Source organism: Homo sapiens, chromosome 2 (genome assembly GCF_000001405.40).
Source record: "Homo sapiens chromosome 2, GRCh38.p14 Primary Assembly".
NCBI classification, from domain to species: Eukaryota; Metazoa; Chordata; class Mammalia; order Primates; family Hominidae; genus Homo; species Homo sapiens.
In genome coordinates, this window is record NC_000002.12 from 151474677 (window position 1) to 151491648 (window position 16972).

Sequence of the window (16972 nt, forward strand, 5' to 3'; positions counted from 1 at the left end):
TAATAATAATAAGCAGCAGCGGCAGCTCTGGTAGATTTTTTTGTGTGCTTGTCCTCATGAAGACTTAAGCCTGCTCTCTCAATTTGAAACCTAGGCACTTGGACTAACTTAAAAGATCATGTAAAAAATTTAATTTTTGTCTGGTATAGATTTAATTGTGGTTTTTTTTTTCTCTTTTAGATATAATTGATCCTGTTGCTTTAGAAATTCCATTATCCAAAAACCTTCTGGCACAGATTAGTGCTCTTGCTCTTCAGCTGGATTCAGAAGATCTTCATAATTATTCAGGAAGCCAACTATTTGAAATGCACGAGAAACTAAGTTGTATGGCAAACTCTGTAATAAAAAATCTACAGTCACGTTGGAGATCACCATCCCATGAAAATTCTATTTAGTATTTTCAGAGAAAATTGAAGGTTTTTTTAAACATCACTGGATTTCTTGATTGAGGAAACAAGTTCTGAAATAATAGCACAATTTCAAAGAAGAGACTCTTTGCAAAGTTGATAACATTTCAAACCCTGAAGGACAGTGACTTATTATGTAAGTTCAATTTTGTAAGTTCATTATGTAAGATCCTTTTTTTTTTCATAATATGTATTCTTGGCTGCTATGCGTGGTTTTTCAGGAAATTTAATTATCTTACTGAGATGTGAAAGCAAAACTAGTAACAGAACTTACATTTTATTTCATGCTTTCTTAAACCCGTGCATATTCTGGTGAAACATGTAAAATACTTTAAGTAAAATTGAACATTTTTATTTGAATTTTTGCTGAACTGATAAAGGTGTTTATATTTTTGTTTGTTGGTTTGTTTAATTCATGTTTGTTGGGACTGAGGTTTAGGAAGTTTGTTACTGGTTAAAAACCTCAAATGAAATGCGAAAGAATTTGAATTTTTCCTGCATATGTCAACTTTGGACAGCTTTCAAGAAAAATGAGAAAAGTTTCAACTTCTGGCGGTTAAAATATTAATGCAGAATTTACTAAGATTTTATTCATTTGCATTAGCAAATATTCATGCAGCAGCAGTTGACTGAAAATTTATTCTTATGAGACGTATAGTATTCATTTTTAAATGCATGATTGTACATTATGTATAGACGACAATGTTTTTAATTTATAAATTTCATTCTTTGTTAATTGCATGGGTTTTTCTGCAGCTTATTGTGAATACCTTGGTTCTGTTCAATAGAAACATTTTGTATATATTAAATACTGAAATATCAGTATCGACGGTGGAAGTGCTTCATGGGCTTGCTGCACATATTTGTAGGATACTGTATCTGCAAATGCAACAACAAATAGTTTTGTACTTGGTTAACAGTCTTAGTTAAAACATGAGTTTATTTTCTAAAAGTATCCAGAATAAGTAAAATTATAGAAATAAGAAAATGTTACACAACTTTGCTGTTCATACCCTTACCTTCTTACTACTTTTGGTTTGGAGGAGGGTATCACCACTAGAAAGTGTGCCTCCTTAAGATTTCTTAAAGGAAAGTTAGTTTCAGTATTTCACAGCAAGTTGGACTACAAAATCTAGAGTTGATCTGCTTTTTAAACCTTCATTTAAAAGCAAACTTGGAAGAAATTTGAAACTGATGTTTTTAATATATGTCTGTGTTGCCTAGGTTTTCTTTTTTTAAAGAGGTATGTAATTAAAACCTTTGTAAAATTTGCCAACTAATATTAGTGCCTGACTTCCCATATTTGTTTCATCTTTTTAACTGACAGTATATCTCACTTCTTCTTTGAATAGAATGAGTGAGTGATCTCAGTTTTCACATTTTATTCAGAAGCTAATCCCTACTTAGCAAGGCACACATTCTACAGCAAGTCATAGAAAGTTTAATCCTTGTGCCTCCTTAGCTCTCGTATATTCAGGGATCTCTATAAAAGTTGGTGTCTTTTTTCATCATCATAAATTCATCATAATCACAGATATTTTTGGGTCTAAGATATTCATATACCAAGGATGGTTTTGTAAAGAATTCTGGGATCATTGAATTAAGGATTGTGGCTTGAAGTAACTAAAGAAAAATACTAATTTCCTTAAAAGGAATTATAATTATGATTTACATTTTACATCATTAATTTCCCAAATTATATTTAACCGTAAGGAGGTGCACATGAGTTTTTAGCAAACAGGTATGAATAAGCAGCTATGTATATGTGTTTGGGGCAGAGGGGAGCAGATTACTTTAACACACTTCAGAATTAAAATCAGTTCGTTTCATGACTCTGTGCCTTAACGTTTGTGTGAACTAAACTTGCTGATTGAATGAAATTCTTGGGAAGCCGAACAGTAATAGCAGAAAATGTGACCAAATGAGTATCATGTACTTAAATCACTGAATTTTATATAAGCACAAGTATTAATTTTAAAAACATTATAGTTTAATAAAGCTGCATTTAAAAATATTTGGGAGCAAAGACAAGCATGCTAAATCTTCATTTTGCTATGGCTATAAGCATATATTTTTGGCAACTTATTTGCAATATTCTTGCCTTAAAGTTTCCTGCAAATTTCCCCCTTAGTAATTCCCGAATAGCAAAACATTAATATTCCATGATTAGCTCTACTGTGTTGTCTCACTATTAAAATGGAATTCGTTTTTTCAGATCTTTTCTAATGGTTAATAAAACAAATGTCAGATCATAATAACACTCAAATGTGTCTTAATTGTCTTATGCATATTTAAGAAGAAAAAACTAGTGGCATACAGGATTGTCATGTAGTATCTTTTTTTTTTTTTGAGACACAGTCTTGCTCTGTTGCCTATGCTGGAGTGCAATGGTGCGATCTCGGTTCACTGCAAGCTCTGCCTCCCAGGTTTACACCATTCTCCTGCCTCAGCCTCCCAAGTAGCTGGGACTACAGGTGCCCGCCACCATGCCCGGCTAATTTTTTATATTTTTAGTAGAGAAGGGGTTCACTGTGTTAGCCAGGATGGTCTTGATCTGACCTCGTGATCCGCCTGCCTCGGCCTCCCAAAGTGCTGGGATTACAGGCGTGAGCCACCCCACCTGGCCATTTTCTTTTTTTTTTGAGGTGGAGTTTTCGCCCTTGCTGCCCAGGCTGGAGTGCAGTGGTACGATCTCAGCTCACTGCAACCTCCACCTCCTGGGTTCAAGCGATTCTCCTGCCTCAGCCTCCCAAATAGCTGGGATTACAGGTGCCTGCCACCACCACTGGTTAATTTTTGTATTTTTAGTAGATACGGGGTTTCACCATGTCAGCCAGGCTGGTCTCAAACTTCTGACCTCAGATATCCACCTGCCTCAGCCTCCTAAAATGGTGGCATTACAGGCGTGAGCCACCGCTCCTGGCCCATCATTTCCATATCTATGAAATCTATTTTGGATTTTAGAGTGGATTTAAATTTTCAATATTTCAGTGACCTCATTGTTAAAGCTGCTTTGCCACTTGTACAAGTTTGAAAACCATTGTTGAATCATATGGAGCTTTACTCTAATTCCAAATAGTTAAAGGATGAATCAGGTTAAATAATGCTGTTGGATAATACAGGCAAAAACAGGATTTAAACCCGCACATTAAAAGCATGACTGAAGGCCCGGCAGGTGGATCACTTTGGCCCAGGAGTTCAAAACTGACCTGAACAATGTGGCGAAATCCTGTCTCTACTAAAAATACAAAAACCAGCCAGGCATGTTGGCGCATACTTGTAATCTCAGCTACTCAGGAGGCTGAGACATGAGAATTGCTTGAACCTTTTAGGCGGAGGTTGCAGTGAGCCGAGATCATGCCATTGCGCGACAGAGCAAGTCTCTGTCTCGCAAAAAAAAAAAAAAAGTTTAATTCTAACATTGCCCATGGATTTTTTTTTTTCTGTACAGCTTGAAGATAAGATAGTTAAAGACTCTGTTACAATTTAAACATCATAAAAATGTGAAGAGTAAGTGGTGAGGCAAGAAACAAAATTGGGGGAAATGGTGGGGATCGTGAATATATAAGTGAAGTTTTATTTTTTTAAGGTGTAAAGGAGTGAGAATAGAGTAATTGCTTTTTAAAAAGAAAGTATAAATGGGTTAATTTTTTTCTTCCAACTTTGACTTTAATTCAGTAAGAAAGGCCTAGGTTTCATCTCATATTCTTCATAATTGATTTTCAAGAAGTTAATTTGTCATTCAGCCTAGGAGGCTATAAAACAGCAGTTAGTTGGCATTATTAGACTAAAACTTGGGTGGGGGGAGGAGACTGTTTCCTCATTGCTGCAACCCATGGTCTATCCTATTCCTAAGCCATTAGAAAGACCTTGTACTTTGTATAGAAACATTAGAGTGAGGTTTTGATTTTTAACATAGTACTCTCAAACTTTGATGTGCATATGAACAAGTGGATTCTGATTCAGTAGATCTGCATTGGGCCCCGTGAGTCTTTTTAAACACAGTCCCAGGTGATTCATGCAGATGCCTGTGAACTGCGCTGGTAGATGGGCCTAAGAGGCTTCAGGCTGTGTTTTAGGTTTTGGTAAGCCAGGCAGATTCAAGTCCTTTTATAACTGTCAATTTTGTGAATTGGGGATGCAGACTGGTTTTGAAGGCTTAAAGTTCAAAAATTATAAGAAAGTTAAGAATTTTGCTTAAGAGCCTTTTAAAAATATGGACGATTTATTTTTTAAGTAGGCAGACTAAGAATTTCAAGTTATAAAGAATCTTATTGATAAGGCAAAGTAGACAAAGTATTTTCTCATGAGTATTTGTGGGTTATGTTTTTGTTAATATAAAAGTTGATTTCTAAGTATTAGAATATATTTAGTCTCTAAATAAATCTTGCCTTCTATTATGGATCATCGTTATTAATAAACATGGAAAATCAACACTACCCCTAATATTAATCTGGCAGTTAAATTTAGTAGTGCTATAATGAATAAGTCAGTCTAGCAGATATGCCCTGTCATTATACTGCGGACCTCTGGTCACTTAATTTTCTGTTATATTATGTGGTTGAAAATTCCTGTTTCATCGTAAAGTGAAATTTGAAAGATGGAGTTGAATAATATGATTCTCGAAAAGTGAGTTTTTCTTGGAATTCTGTTAAGGTGTTAGATTTTCCTCACATATTTAAATAATCTGTAAGAACTACCCTGAAAGCACTAAGGAAAATGTAGCCGAAAGTTAAGTAATAGGTTTTAAAAATTTATCAAAATTTATTGATAGTTTGATCTGTAAAACAAATTGGGTTTCGTGCTTTCTGATGTCCAGTTAATAAGTATATTATGTGCCAGGCTTTACATATTGCTCTTTGCAAGTAGCCGTTAAAGTGTAAGTCATTGAAGTTTGAAGATCTATAAATATTTAATATAGTAGTCTAAACAGTTGTGAGAATTTACTCAGTTCTGAAATAGAATGTTAAATTTTCCGATGTGGTCCTAATCATTTTTTTCTTTACATACTAAGCCTTCCTTTCTCCAAAGAACAGTTAAAACCAAATGTGTTATGGTAAGCTGTAAATACCGTTGGAATAAAAGATAACCGTTCATCTTACCTAAAAAATTGAAGACAATATTTTCCATTGTTGATGTCACAAGTAAGAAAAAAACTCTAACTTTTGTACTCTACTTGTAGCAGAGGGAATATTTTTGGCCACAGTGTGCCAATTTATAATTGTAGATAAAGCTGAATTTACTGGGCAGCAAGCTTATATGCTGATAGAAGTTGATGCACTGAGAAGTGATGAGTTGAAGAGAATGGAAAAGGCAGATTGAGCTGGAATTTTAATGCATAGTACATTTAGTAGAGAGACAAGCTGTCCTATATACTCCTGTATACTTCAGAAATAGCTGATAGCCTATAGTCTCTGAGAGCTATTCTGTACATAGCACAGTATTATAATTGATGTTCATAAATACCCTGAGAGATTATGTTAAAATACATTATTAATACTCCCACAAAAGCAGTAAGTTAATAAGTATTTCCAACAAAAGGCAGCTTTGTTTCTTAAACGGATAAACAACATATAACTAGGAAGATCATCTTCAAAATAAAGTGTCATGGAACTGAAAATAGAGTATAGTCTAACAATTATTTTGATACACTATTGAATAGCTAACAAGTGTCTAAAGAATTTTTTATTTTTATAGAATAGGAAGTTTCTAAAAGAAAACAATTAAGAGCAAAATTGGTTTTGAGTATAGAAACTGAAGGATGGCAGTCTTAACTCCTAAGTTTTTTACAGAGCACAGATTGGTAAACTAGCATGCCACCTGTTTTTTGTACTATCTGTGAGCTGAGACTGGTTTTTACATTTTTTAATGGTGAAAAAAGTCAAAAGAAGGACATTTTGTGACACATGAAAACATATTAAATTAAAATTTCAGTATCCAGAAATAAAGTTTTATTGGAACAGCTGTGCTTATTGTCTTTAGCTGCTTTCCTGGTACAGTGGCTGAGTTTAGTAGTATAGCAGAGTCTGTATGGCTTCCAACAGTCAAAATACTGCCTGGCCTTTTAAAGAGTTTGTCAATCCCTTTTATGGAGGAAGGTTTTGCTCATGCATGGCATGTTAGTCAATTTAGTTATTTGCTTCTAGCTGGCAGAATGTGGTCTTGATTACTTAATTTCTGTTACCCCTGTGTTTTCCAGAATGGCTTCTCCTGATTTTACTTACGTGTTTTACTATTGCTCAAATTACAGATACTAGGAAACACTACTACTTTATAAGTACACTTCTTTTTCCTACTTAAACTCTCAAACTACAGTTACGTATTTGCCATGATGTTAAGGGACCTTGATGGTCTGTGAATTATCAGTTGCTTTCTGCACTACCTCCTGTAGATAGACCTGACTGATAGCACTTACAAAAAGACTGATAGATGCCAAATCAGTCATTTATTAACCCTCTAATATTGTTGTCCCGATCATTTGGTAAACGCTAAGAGAGCTTAGTTTTACATTCACAAAGTATTTGTATTTGATAAGTCTTAAAAATGATTTAAGTTGAAGCCTAACAGAAGTACTTGTTCATTCCTCAGTTACCTGCAAATAATGGAAATAATGGTGCAGTCAGTTTTATTTGATTGTGTAATGCTTTATACTAGGGGTCTCAAACCCCTGGGTGGCATTAGATTCTTACAGGAGCGTGAACCCTATTGTGAACTGCACATGCAAGAGATCTAGGTTGTGCGCTCATTATGAGAATCTAATACCCGATGATCTGAGGTGGAACAGTCTCATCCTGAAACCATCTACCCCAACACCTGTGTCTGTGGAAATTGTCTCCACGAAACCGGTCCCTGTTGAAAAAAGGTTAGGGGACCACTGCTTTATACAGTGTTTGAAGTAGGCACACTTACAGTTACTATTTCTGGTTCTTTATGACTGTTGAGGGGGGGCAGAATTCTATGTTTGATTCACAGTAAAACTTTTCATGAATCATTGAGGGTTAACTGTTATCACTTGCCAATGGAAACTGGATATTGAAACATTTTTTTAAGAAATGCACTTTTACCTGAAATAAAACTATAAAAACTAAACTCTGGTACTTGTTTTTGTTGGCTACATTTTGGTTTTTTGTTTTGTTGTTTTCGTGAGATCTGAAATGAGTATGAATAGTTTAATTCAAATACCACAAAGTGTATGTTATATTCCTCCACAAACATGAACCCTTCCTTTTCTTTTTCCCCTTTTATGGCCTGCTTTTTAACCACAGAGGTTTTCTGATTTATGCATAGTTTTATGGGTTCCACTGGTTTCTAAATCCAGAGGTGGTGGTTTTTCTGTTGTTGTTGTTGTTAATGAGTTCAGTTTCTCATTGAACTTGTTAGAAGAGAGGTTTCGTCAAATAAGGGCTGAGTAGATGCAGGCAAGCTTGGAGAGGCAGTCCACATGGTGTGGGCGAGGGCAGAGGTGGCACTGCCAGGCTAGTCACCAGATGAAGTAAATGCCTCACCCCAACATGACCTTAACTTCCTCTGCAGAACCAAGCATGTTGATGGCAGCCGAAGAAAAGCTCCATAGTTTTAAGGAAAACAACAACAACAACAATTAGGGTAAACAGTGATGTTGAAAGACACTGTATTAGTTTCCTAGGGCTGCTGTAACAGTACCACAAACCTAATAAGTTAAACAACTGAAATGTATTGTCTCAGTTTTGAATAGTAGAGGTCTGAGATATGGTATCAGCAGGGTTTGTTCCTTCTAAGGACTGTGTGGAAGTTATCTGTCCCATACCTCTCCCCAGCTAGCTTGGTGGTGTGCTGGCCATTTTTGACAGGTAGAGGTATTTCCCCAATCTCCCATCTTCATATGACTTTCTACCTATGTGCCTGTGTATTTGTCTAAATTTCCCTTTTATAAGGATAGCAAGGCCATTGGATTAGGGCCTCATCTGAATTAACAGCATCTGCAAGGATCCTATTTACAAGGTCACATTCTGAGGCCTTGGGGGTTAGGACTTAACATGAATTTGGGGGTGGGAGGGTGGGACACAATACAGTTCATACATTTGAGTGAGATTTGATTGAGATGTAACCCATAGACCTAATTTCTCCCTTTTATAGTTTCTTGAAGATGGCTCTTTGCAGCCTACGTGGTAGTGGAGATATATACAAAGGACTTCCCTAGTATCGTTGGACCAACAAGCACAAGCAGATGGCAGGAAGATTAGAACATTGGATATTGATTGCCAGTTTTTAAGGTGTGTTAATTTTCTTGTGATTAATGTTTTAAGAGTCCTTTATAAGATACACACTGAAAGGTGACTAATCTATAATGAGATTCAGTATAAGGAAGTTACAAGGTAATGAGAGGAGTGCATTGGTTTGGTGGAGAGGAAACAGGGTTAACCATGAGTTGATAATTTTTGAGGCTAGTTGGTGGATGTAGGATTATTCTCTACTTTTATATATACAGTCATCCCTCAATATCCATGGGGTATTGGTTTCAGGACCACCCCTACCTTATGGATATTAAAATCCCTAGTGTAAAATGACCTAATATTAGCATATAACCTATGCACATTCTCCCATATACTTTAAATCAGGGTTCCCCAACCCACGGGCTGTGGAGTGGTACAGGTCCATGGCCTGTTAGGAAACAGGCTGTACAGCAGGAGGTCGAGTGGCCGGTGAGCAAGCATTACCACCTGAGCTCTGCCTCCTGTCAGCTCACTGGCCGCAGTAAATTCTTCATGAACTGCACATGCGAGGGATCTAGGTTTGTGCTCCTTATGAGAACCTAACACCTGATCTGAGGTGGAACAGTTTCGTTCCCCACTGTGTGGAAAAATTGTCTTCCACAAAACTGGTCCCTAGTGCCAAAAAGGCTGGGGACCTGTGCTTTAAATCATCTCTTGATTATAATACCTAATATAATGTAAATGTATGTAAATATGTTATACTGTATTGTTTAAGGACTAATCACAAGAAGAAAGTCTAGCTGTTCAGTACAGATGTGACCATCTTTTTTTTTCTGAATATTTTTGATTCATGGTTGGTTGAATTTGTGGATGTGGAACTCAAGGATCTTGGAAAGCCAGCTGCATGTTGAACATTTTCCAGGCTTTAAAGAAAAATCTGTAAGAGACAAAGGTTCTGTTGTTCTTTGCAATAGCACCTGCAAAGTGTGCCTTGGCAAACCGATAAAGTAAATAGGAAATTTAAAACTAAACCAGCCAGGCCAGGTCCAGTGGCTCAGGCCTGTAATCCCAGCACTTTGGGAGGCTGAGGTGGTCGGATCACCTGAAGTCAGGAGTTCAAGACCAGTCTGGCCAATATGGCAAAACCCTGTCTGTACTGAAAATACAAACATTAGCCCAGAGTGGTGGCGCACGCCTGTAGTCCCAGCTACTCAGGAGGCTGAGACACAAGAATCACTTGAACCCAGGAGGGAGAGGTTGCAGTGAGTAGAGATTGGGCCACTGCACTCCAGCCTGGGCAACAGAGGGAGACTCTGTCTCCAAACAAAAAAATGGCTCATTGTAATGGAGATAGCATATACTTTAGTATTCTAAAAGTTTGGGAGTTGGAAATCACAATAGGATTGTTGCCTACTTGCATTTTTATCCAGTTTAAGGCAAGATGGAAGACTTGGGAGCAGGAGAGTAGCACCATTTGGCACCATTTGGATGGTTAAGCATAATCTGCCTTTTCTTGGGTCTGCAAATTCCCTAAGGGCATCAACTGTCTCTTGTTCTTCACTTGAGCTTCAGCCTCTAACCCAGTGCCTGGCATAGAGGTGTACGTTGGTCATTCGCAAGTGAGTGCGCTCTCTTCACAAGAGCATTTTCTCCCTGTGAGTCTCAGACACATTAAGAAGCTTGAGGCAGCATTACTACGGCTGTAAAGTTACAGGGACTTACCTACCTTCTAGGAAGAACAGTCTGTAAACTTAAACATTAAGCCATTATGGTTGCTTCTTCTCCCTTTGCCTTTGCCACATGCTGCCATCCTACTGGATACAGATGGGAAAGATGCCCTTGAAGTTAGGATTGGAGTCCACAGATGTTCTTAAAACTGTAATAGAAGCTTGCTGAATGCAAGTATAGATAGAATTTTGAGAATGTCTACTCTTAGGCATAACAGTACATTTTTTAAATTTAGATAATTTTTTAGTAATTTTATGTACAATTTGCTTCATTGAATTTTTATAGGTAGATATTAAAACCATTAAACATAAATAATGCTCATTCCATCCACAGAGTTGCAGAATTAGAGGTTTTATTAGTTGCTGGTTTGTATTGATTATAAGTTTATAACTTCAGAACTGAATTAGAAATAATAAGCATTAGCAATCAGCAAGGAAAAGGTGAACATCTCTGCTATTTTTCCTTTAATGTGTTTGGCATATTCAAAATCCCTGTTTTAGAAAAGAAATAATGTTAAAACATGTTTATAATGGAGAAAGACTCTAGGCACAGAAATAATATTGCAGAAGCTTTTAAAGTGTCTGTTCTGCAACTTATTTTAAAACCCAAAGGAGAAAGGATGGTACTACCATAAATCACATTGACACAGAAAAACCATAGGCAGCTTGAGAACTTAGGTAACAGTGGAGAGTCTAAACCGAAACATTGACTGCAGGATCTGTAAGTCCTGCAGACAAGTGTGATGCTTTGAAATGCCTAAATAGCTTCAACGTAGTTGGCTGGGAGCATTCCGGTCCTGCCAGTCCTCTGCACAGTGCCATACATCCAGCCTTCATCAATTGCTTGAACATTTATGATGGCATCTCCATCCTTGAAGGACACCTCATCTGCATCAGCAGCCATATAGTCATACATGGCACGGAAGATTTTCTATTCGTGGGGATGGAAAAGGGGAAATATTATATGTTGGATTTGCAACAGTTAACACACATCTATTTGTAAGATCTCTCATGACTGACTCCACAAACTTAAGTTGAACAAAAGAGAATGTGCAAGCATCAACAAAGTAAAAGGAACCCACAAAATAGGAAATACTTGCAAGTCATGTATCTGATAGGCAATTAATATCCAGAACATATGACGAACTCCTACAACTCAATGCCTTCCCCCACCAAAAGAGGCAAAGGATATGAATAGACATTTCTCCAAAAAAGATAGACAAATAGCCAAAAAGCACACAAAAGGATGCTCAAAATTAGTCATCTGGAAAATGCAAATTATTAAAACCACAATGAGATACCCCTTCACACATGCCAGAATGGTGATGATAAAAAAGACAGACAATAACAGACATTAGAAAGGATGTGGAGAAATTGGGTCCTTCATAAACCACTGGTGGAAGTGGAAAAGAGTGCAGCCACCTTGGAAAAGAATTTGGCAGTTATCACATGTTAAATACAGCATTACCCTATGGCCCAGCAAATTCCACTCCTAGGTGTATACCCAAGAAGAATGAAGACATAGGTCTGCACAATAATTTGTACATCCATGTCCGTAGCAGCATTACTCATAATAGCCAAAAAGTGGAAACAACTTAAATGCCCACCAACTGATGAATGCATAAGCAAGATCTGGTATATCCATACAGATCTATTATTGGGTAGTAACAAGAATGGGGTAGTAACAAGAATGAAGTACTGACACATGATACAACATGGATGAACTTCAAAAGTAAAGGACGCCATGCACCAAGGTCAGTATATTGTATGGTTTTATTTATATGAAATGTCTTAGGTAGCCAAATAATATAGTGACAGGAAATGGATACCTAGGATTGGATGGAGCAGAAAGGGGATGGAGAATGAATGCCAATGGGCACCAGCATTTGTTTGTTTGTTTTAATTCACCAGAAGAGTTTTGAATACAGTTTTTTTTATGGTGATGAAAGTATTCTAAAATTAGATTATGGAGATGGTTGGAAAAAAAGCTTAAAATCATTGTACACTTTATGAACTTCATACTAAGTTATGTATGCATGAAATTGTGTGTGTGTGCGCATGTGCGTGTGTGTGTACTGACAGAAAAGACAGAATATGCTGCTAATTTTATTTATGGCCTTTTTCTACCTTTCGAAGAGGTCAGTCTTGTATTTTAGAGAAGAATTTGAAAACCCGTAGCACTATTGCATGTCATCTTTCACTCTGGGAATTTGGGAGCATACGAGTAGTAAAAGTTTCTCAAAGCTATCCTCCACAGTGTTAAAATTGTAATAATTTGGAGGTATATAATAAGTGATAATATCAAAAGTTTCTTCCTAGGAGCAGCCACTGGTTAGTAGTTTTGGATGTAACCTATATGGTTTTTTCTTGCATTTTGAAATTCACATGCATATATTCAAAATCACATGCATATATTCAAATTCACAAATAGATTTCCTTTCCCCTTTGCATAAGTGGAACATTACTATAAATAATACTGTGATTTGTTCTTTCCATTTAATATAGCTTGGAAGTCTTTCCATGTAAATATAGCTGTATCTTACCCTTTTTGACTGCTGCAGAGAATTTCACATTTTAATAATATCACGAATTATTCAGCCATTTTCATTTTTCTGGACATTTAGTTGTCACCATTTTTTCTTACACTATAATGAGCATCCTACCGTTTATCTTTGGGCAAATAATTTCTGAAGAAAAAGCTTTTGAAGGTAAAAGTTTTAGGTCAAATGGCATGTGTGTTTAAACTTATTTTATACATACACACATATATATATATGTATAAAATAATTTTACAAATAGAGATGGGGTTTTGCCTTGTTGCATAGGCTGGTCTTAAACTCCTGGACTCAAGCAGTCCTCCCACCTCCTAAAGTGCTGGGATTACAGGTGTGAGCCACTATTCCTGACCTAATTTTTTAAGTTTTCTGTTAAAATGTTCGAATATGATACAATATGATATTTGATTCAATTTGATACTTTGTATTATGTACTTTATCTTATTTTTATATTCTTGGTTACTAGCACTTTTATTTTTATATTCCTGGTTACTAGTCATGGTGAACACCTTTTTCTGTTGGCCATTTATATTTATTTTGCCATAAATTATCTATTCTTAGTCTTCCAAGTCCTATTTTGAGGGCGAGGGGAATAATTTATCAGTGAATTTTAGAGTTCTTTATTCTTTTTCAATATTAATATTTTTGTTATGTATGCTGTAAATGTTTTCTCCCAGTCTGACATGTTTGTATTTATTTGTTATAGAAACATTTAAAATTTTATGATCAAATTGGCCAGACTTTTATACTTCTAGATTTTGGAATTTGCCTGGGAAGGCTTTCCCCTTTATATTTTAAAATAATTGTGGCCGGGCTGAGTGGCTGATGCCTGTAATCCCAGCATTTTAGGAGGCCAAAGCAGGCAGAGGGCTTGAGCCTAGGGGTTTGAGACCAGCCTGGGCAACATAGTGAGCCTCTACCAAAAAAAAAAAAAAAAAAATTAGCCTAGAATGGCATATACACCTGTAGTCCTAGCTATTCTGGTGGCTGAGGCTGGAGGATTGCTTGAGTCCATGAAGTCGAGACTGCAGCGAGCTGTGATCATGCCACCACACTGCAGCCTGGGTGATAGAGTGAGACCCTGTCTCTAAAAATAAAAAAAAAGTATTCTGTATTATTCTTTGTACTTCTACAATTTTGTATTTTACATCTAAATCTTTGGTACAGCTACAGTTTATGCTTTGAGATGGGTATCTAATTTTATTATTTTACTAAATAGATAACTGGTTACCTCAGATCATATAATTAAATAACTTACCCCTTTCTTGCTGATTTATAATTCTTTTAGGGTCTGTTTCTGGACTTCATCTATTTTTGTATCTATTGCCATGCTAAATCGATATTTTGTATCTATTGCCATGCTAAATCCATATTTAATTTTAATAGCTTTATAGTATGTTTTGTTCTTTTTTAGTTGAGTCCTTAAGTATTATCATTTTCAAATTTTACTTGATTATCCTTGCAGCTTTTTCAAATTTTAGGGTTAGCACAGTTTCTTTAAATGCTATTGGGATTTATATTGGAATTGAATGCATTGGTTTATTTCAGGGAAAATTAGAACTTTACAGTATTCCCTTCCTTAAATATAATAGGTCTAACACTTATTTAGACCTTCTTGTATGTCATTTAATAAAGACAGTTGTCTTCATACAAAGATTGTTCATATCAATCCTAAAGTATTAGGCTTTTGAGGATATTATGAATGAGATCCAGGGTTTTAAACTAAGAGTTGTGAAGTAGTCTGGTGAACTGTGAAGATGATTTGGCTTACCATTTCTATATATATTAATAGGGGAGATCTAAGATAAGGCATGTATATATGTGGGCACATTGCATACATCTATACATTCTTGATTTTTGAGACAGGGTCTCCCTCTGTCATCCAGGCTGGAGTACAGTGGTGCAGTTATGGCTCACTGCAACCTCAAATTTCCAGGCTCAAGCAATCCTCCCACCTCAACTTCCTCAGTAGCTGGGGCTATAGATGCACCACCACACCTGGCTAATTTTTTGGTTTTTAGTAGAGATGAAGTCTCACTATGTTGCCTAGGCTGGTCTCAAACTCCTGAGCTCAAGCAATCCTCCTGCATCAGCGTCCCAAAGTGCTGGCATTATAGGCATGATTCACTATGCCCAGCAAATGTTTAAGATAGTAGGTGAGACCAATGAGCCAAAACTGATGCTTTGCTCTAGGTTTGGGTTTTTTTTTTAAGTTATTGAATAATGCTTTTCATTAATTTGAGTTAGATAATGAAAGTTTTCTGATATCATTAATATGAAACATGTAATAAAAGAGCATTATATAAAATAGAAGGTTTGGTTAAAAAAAACCGTAATACCTAATACTTATAATCATGTTTGCACATATCAAAAATTAAGAATAATTTATTTAAGTGAGTTGTTATTCACTTACTCCAGCAGTAGATGGATGAGATGGGATGGAAGATACCGTTGTCTGTTGGGTAGCAACTGAAGATGATCGTTGTTGTGGGAGCTCTGTGGTTTTTGCATGTTTGTAAGCTGAAAAAAAGGGGGCAAATTCTTTATAAGAAGAAAAATGGCTAGGTATCCTTTAATCTGTGTTTAGCAGCTGAGTGATGTCTTTTTCCCCCAACTTAGAATGATTTCCAAAAAGAGAAATCAAAGAAAATGAAACATCTAACTTCATGCAGCCCTCCACAATTCTAGTCTTTTCTCATTAAAGGAAAGGATGAAAAATTTTTAAATTTGTTTTTGTACTCAAAGCATCTCTTATAGTAACCATCAATGAGCTGGCCGGGTGGGACTGCCAAAATCAGCGCCAGGCACTTGTACCTGTTGAGACTGCAAAGACACCCCCGTCGCTGTAAGTCGAAAGGTGGTGGTCTGGTGCTTCTGAATGCTCAGACTTCTCCTCACCCCCACTGATGCTTAGTGCACTGGCAGATCGTGACTGCTCCCGGCTCCGGCGCTGAGCTTGGACTGGGAGAGATGCAGTTGGGGGAGATGTAGCAAACATGAAATTTCTATGGTAGTAATGCCTAACAGTGATTGAATCTCAGTTATTGTTATCTTTGCCAAGCATGGTTTTAAGTACTTTCCCATGGGTCAAACCCTCACAGTTATTCTGATGTAGGTTTGTCTTTCTTATTTTTACAGATGAGAGCTTACGTACATGACCAAAGGTCATGGAACAGTTAAGTTGTACAGCCAGGTTTCAAATCCAAGAGTCTATTTGTAACATCTCCCCTCCACCCTGCCAATTTTCCTGGCTCACCAAAATGAATAAATAGTAATATTCACATTCAGACTCCATCTTTAACTTCTCCAGAAAGTCCTCCCTAACTGCAAATCAATTTAGAGTCTTTCTCTGTGTTCCCAAAATACCATGGGCAGACCTTTAAAATTGCACATGTCAGAATGCAACCATGGATTTACTTCTGTGTCTTGATCAGAAAACTGGAGTATAAATCCTTTGAGGACTGTCTCTACATAATATCCTTTTTTTTTTTTTTTGAGATGGGGTCTCTGTTGCTCAGGCTGAAGGGCAGTGGTACAATCACGGCTCACTGCAGCTTCAACTTTCTAGGCTCAAGCTATCCTCCCACTTCAGCCCCCTGAACAGCTGGTACTACAGGTGTACAACACCACTCGCGGCTAATTTTTTTTTACTGTTTGTAGAAAAGGGGTCTCATTCTCTTTTCCAGGCTAGTATTCTGCTTTTTAACATGAAAAGAAGGAATGAAGTTGTGCAGCCTGCTTTGTGTAATGAATAAACTTCCTTGATGCAATAGAGCTCAGGAAGTTCCTACAGGTCAAATCCTTTCTCTTCCCTTTGCCTATGTATTTTATGTATTTTCATTATTTCTCCAATAGAATTACTACTGTTTTTTCTTTGGAAGAAAAATTAGAAATGATAATAATGGGAGACATGCACTGAGGCAGTGAAACAAAATTTTTTCTAACTTGAACTTATCTAGAAAGTAAGTTTTGCTCACTAGTTAACAAGGTATTTTTATGCCAAATGGGCAGCTCAGAAAATGGAAAACTCTGGAGGGAAGGAACTTCAGAGCCCAAATGAAAGTCATTGACTCTAGCATACTAAATGGTGA

At 36.6% G+C, this 16972-nt stretch overlaps 2 protein-coding genes across 93 annotated transcripts in view; one reads left to right on the forward strand and one right to left on the reverse strand.

Moving 5' to 3' along the window:
- The window catches only part of RIF1 (replication timing regulatory factor 1), a 124534-nt gene that overhangs the window by 64775 nt on the left and 42787 nt on the right, over positions 1-16972 (forward strand). For 28 of the 47 annotated variants that reach the window (NM_001177665.2, XM_047444875.1, XM_047444884.1 and 25 more), the window contains one exon: positions 181-7496. In NM_001177665.2, coding sequence (NP_001171136.1) covers positions 181-395 — 215 coding nt within the window. In that variant the 3' untranslated portion in view covers positions 396-7496. Of the gene's footprint in view, positions 1-180; positions 7497-8522; positions 8660-16972 lie in introns of those variants that run through there. The other 19 variants (XR_007077544.1, XR_007077534.1, XR_007077537.1 and 16 more) reach the window with 1 other exon arrangement.
- Positions 10663-16972, reverse strand: part of NEB (nebulin) — a 249138-nt gene continuing 242828 nt past the window's right edge. For all 46 annotated transcript variants that reach the window (XM_011511227.3, XM_011511226.3, XM_005246613.3 and 43 more), the window contains 3 exons: positions 15696-15842; positions 15295-15401; positions 10663-11257 (listed from right to left, as the gene is read on the reverse strand). In XM_011511227.3, the coding sequence (XP_011509529.1) occupies positions 11084-11257; positions 15295-15401; positions 15696-15842 (428 nt within the window). In that variant the 3' untranslated portion in view covers positions 10663-11083. The remainder of the gene's footprint in view (positions 11258-15294; positions 15402-15695; positions 15843-16972) is intronic.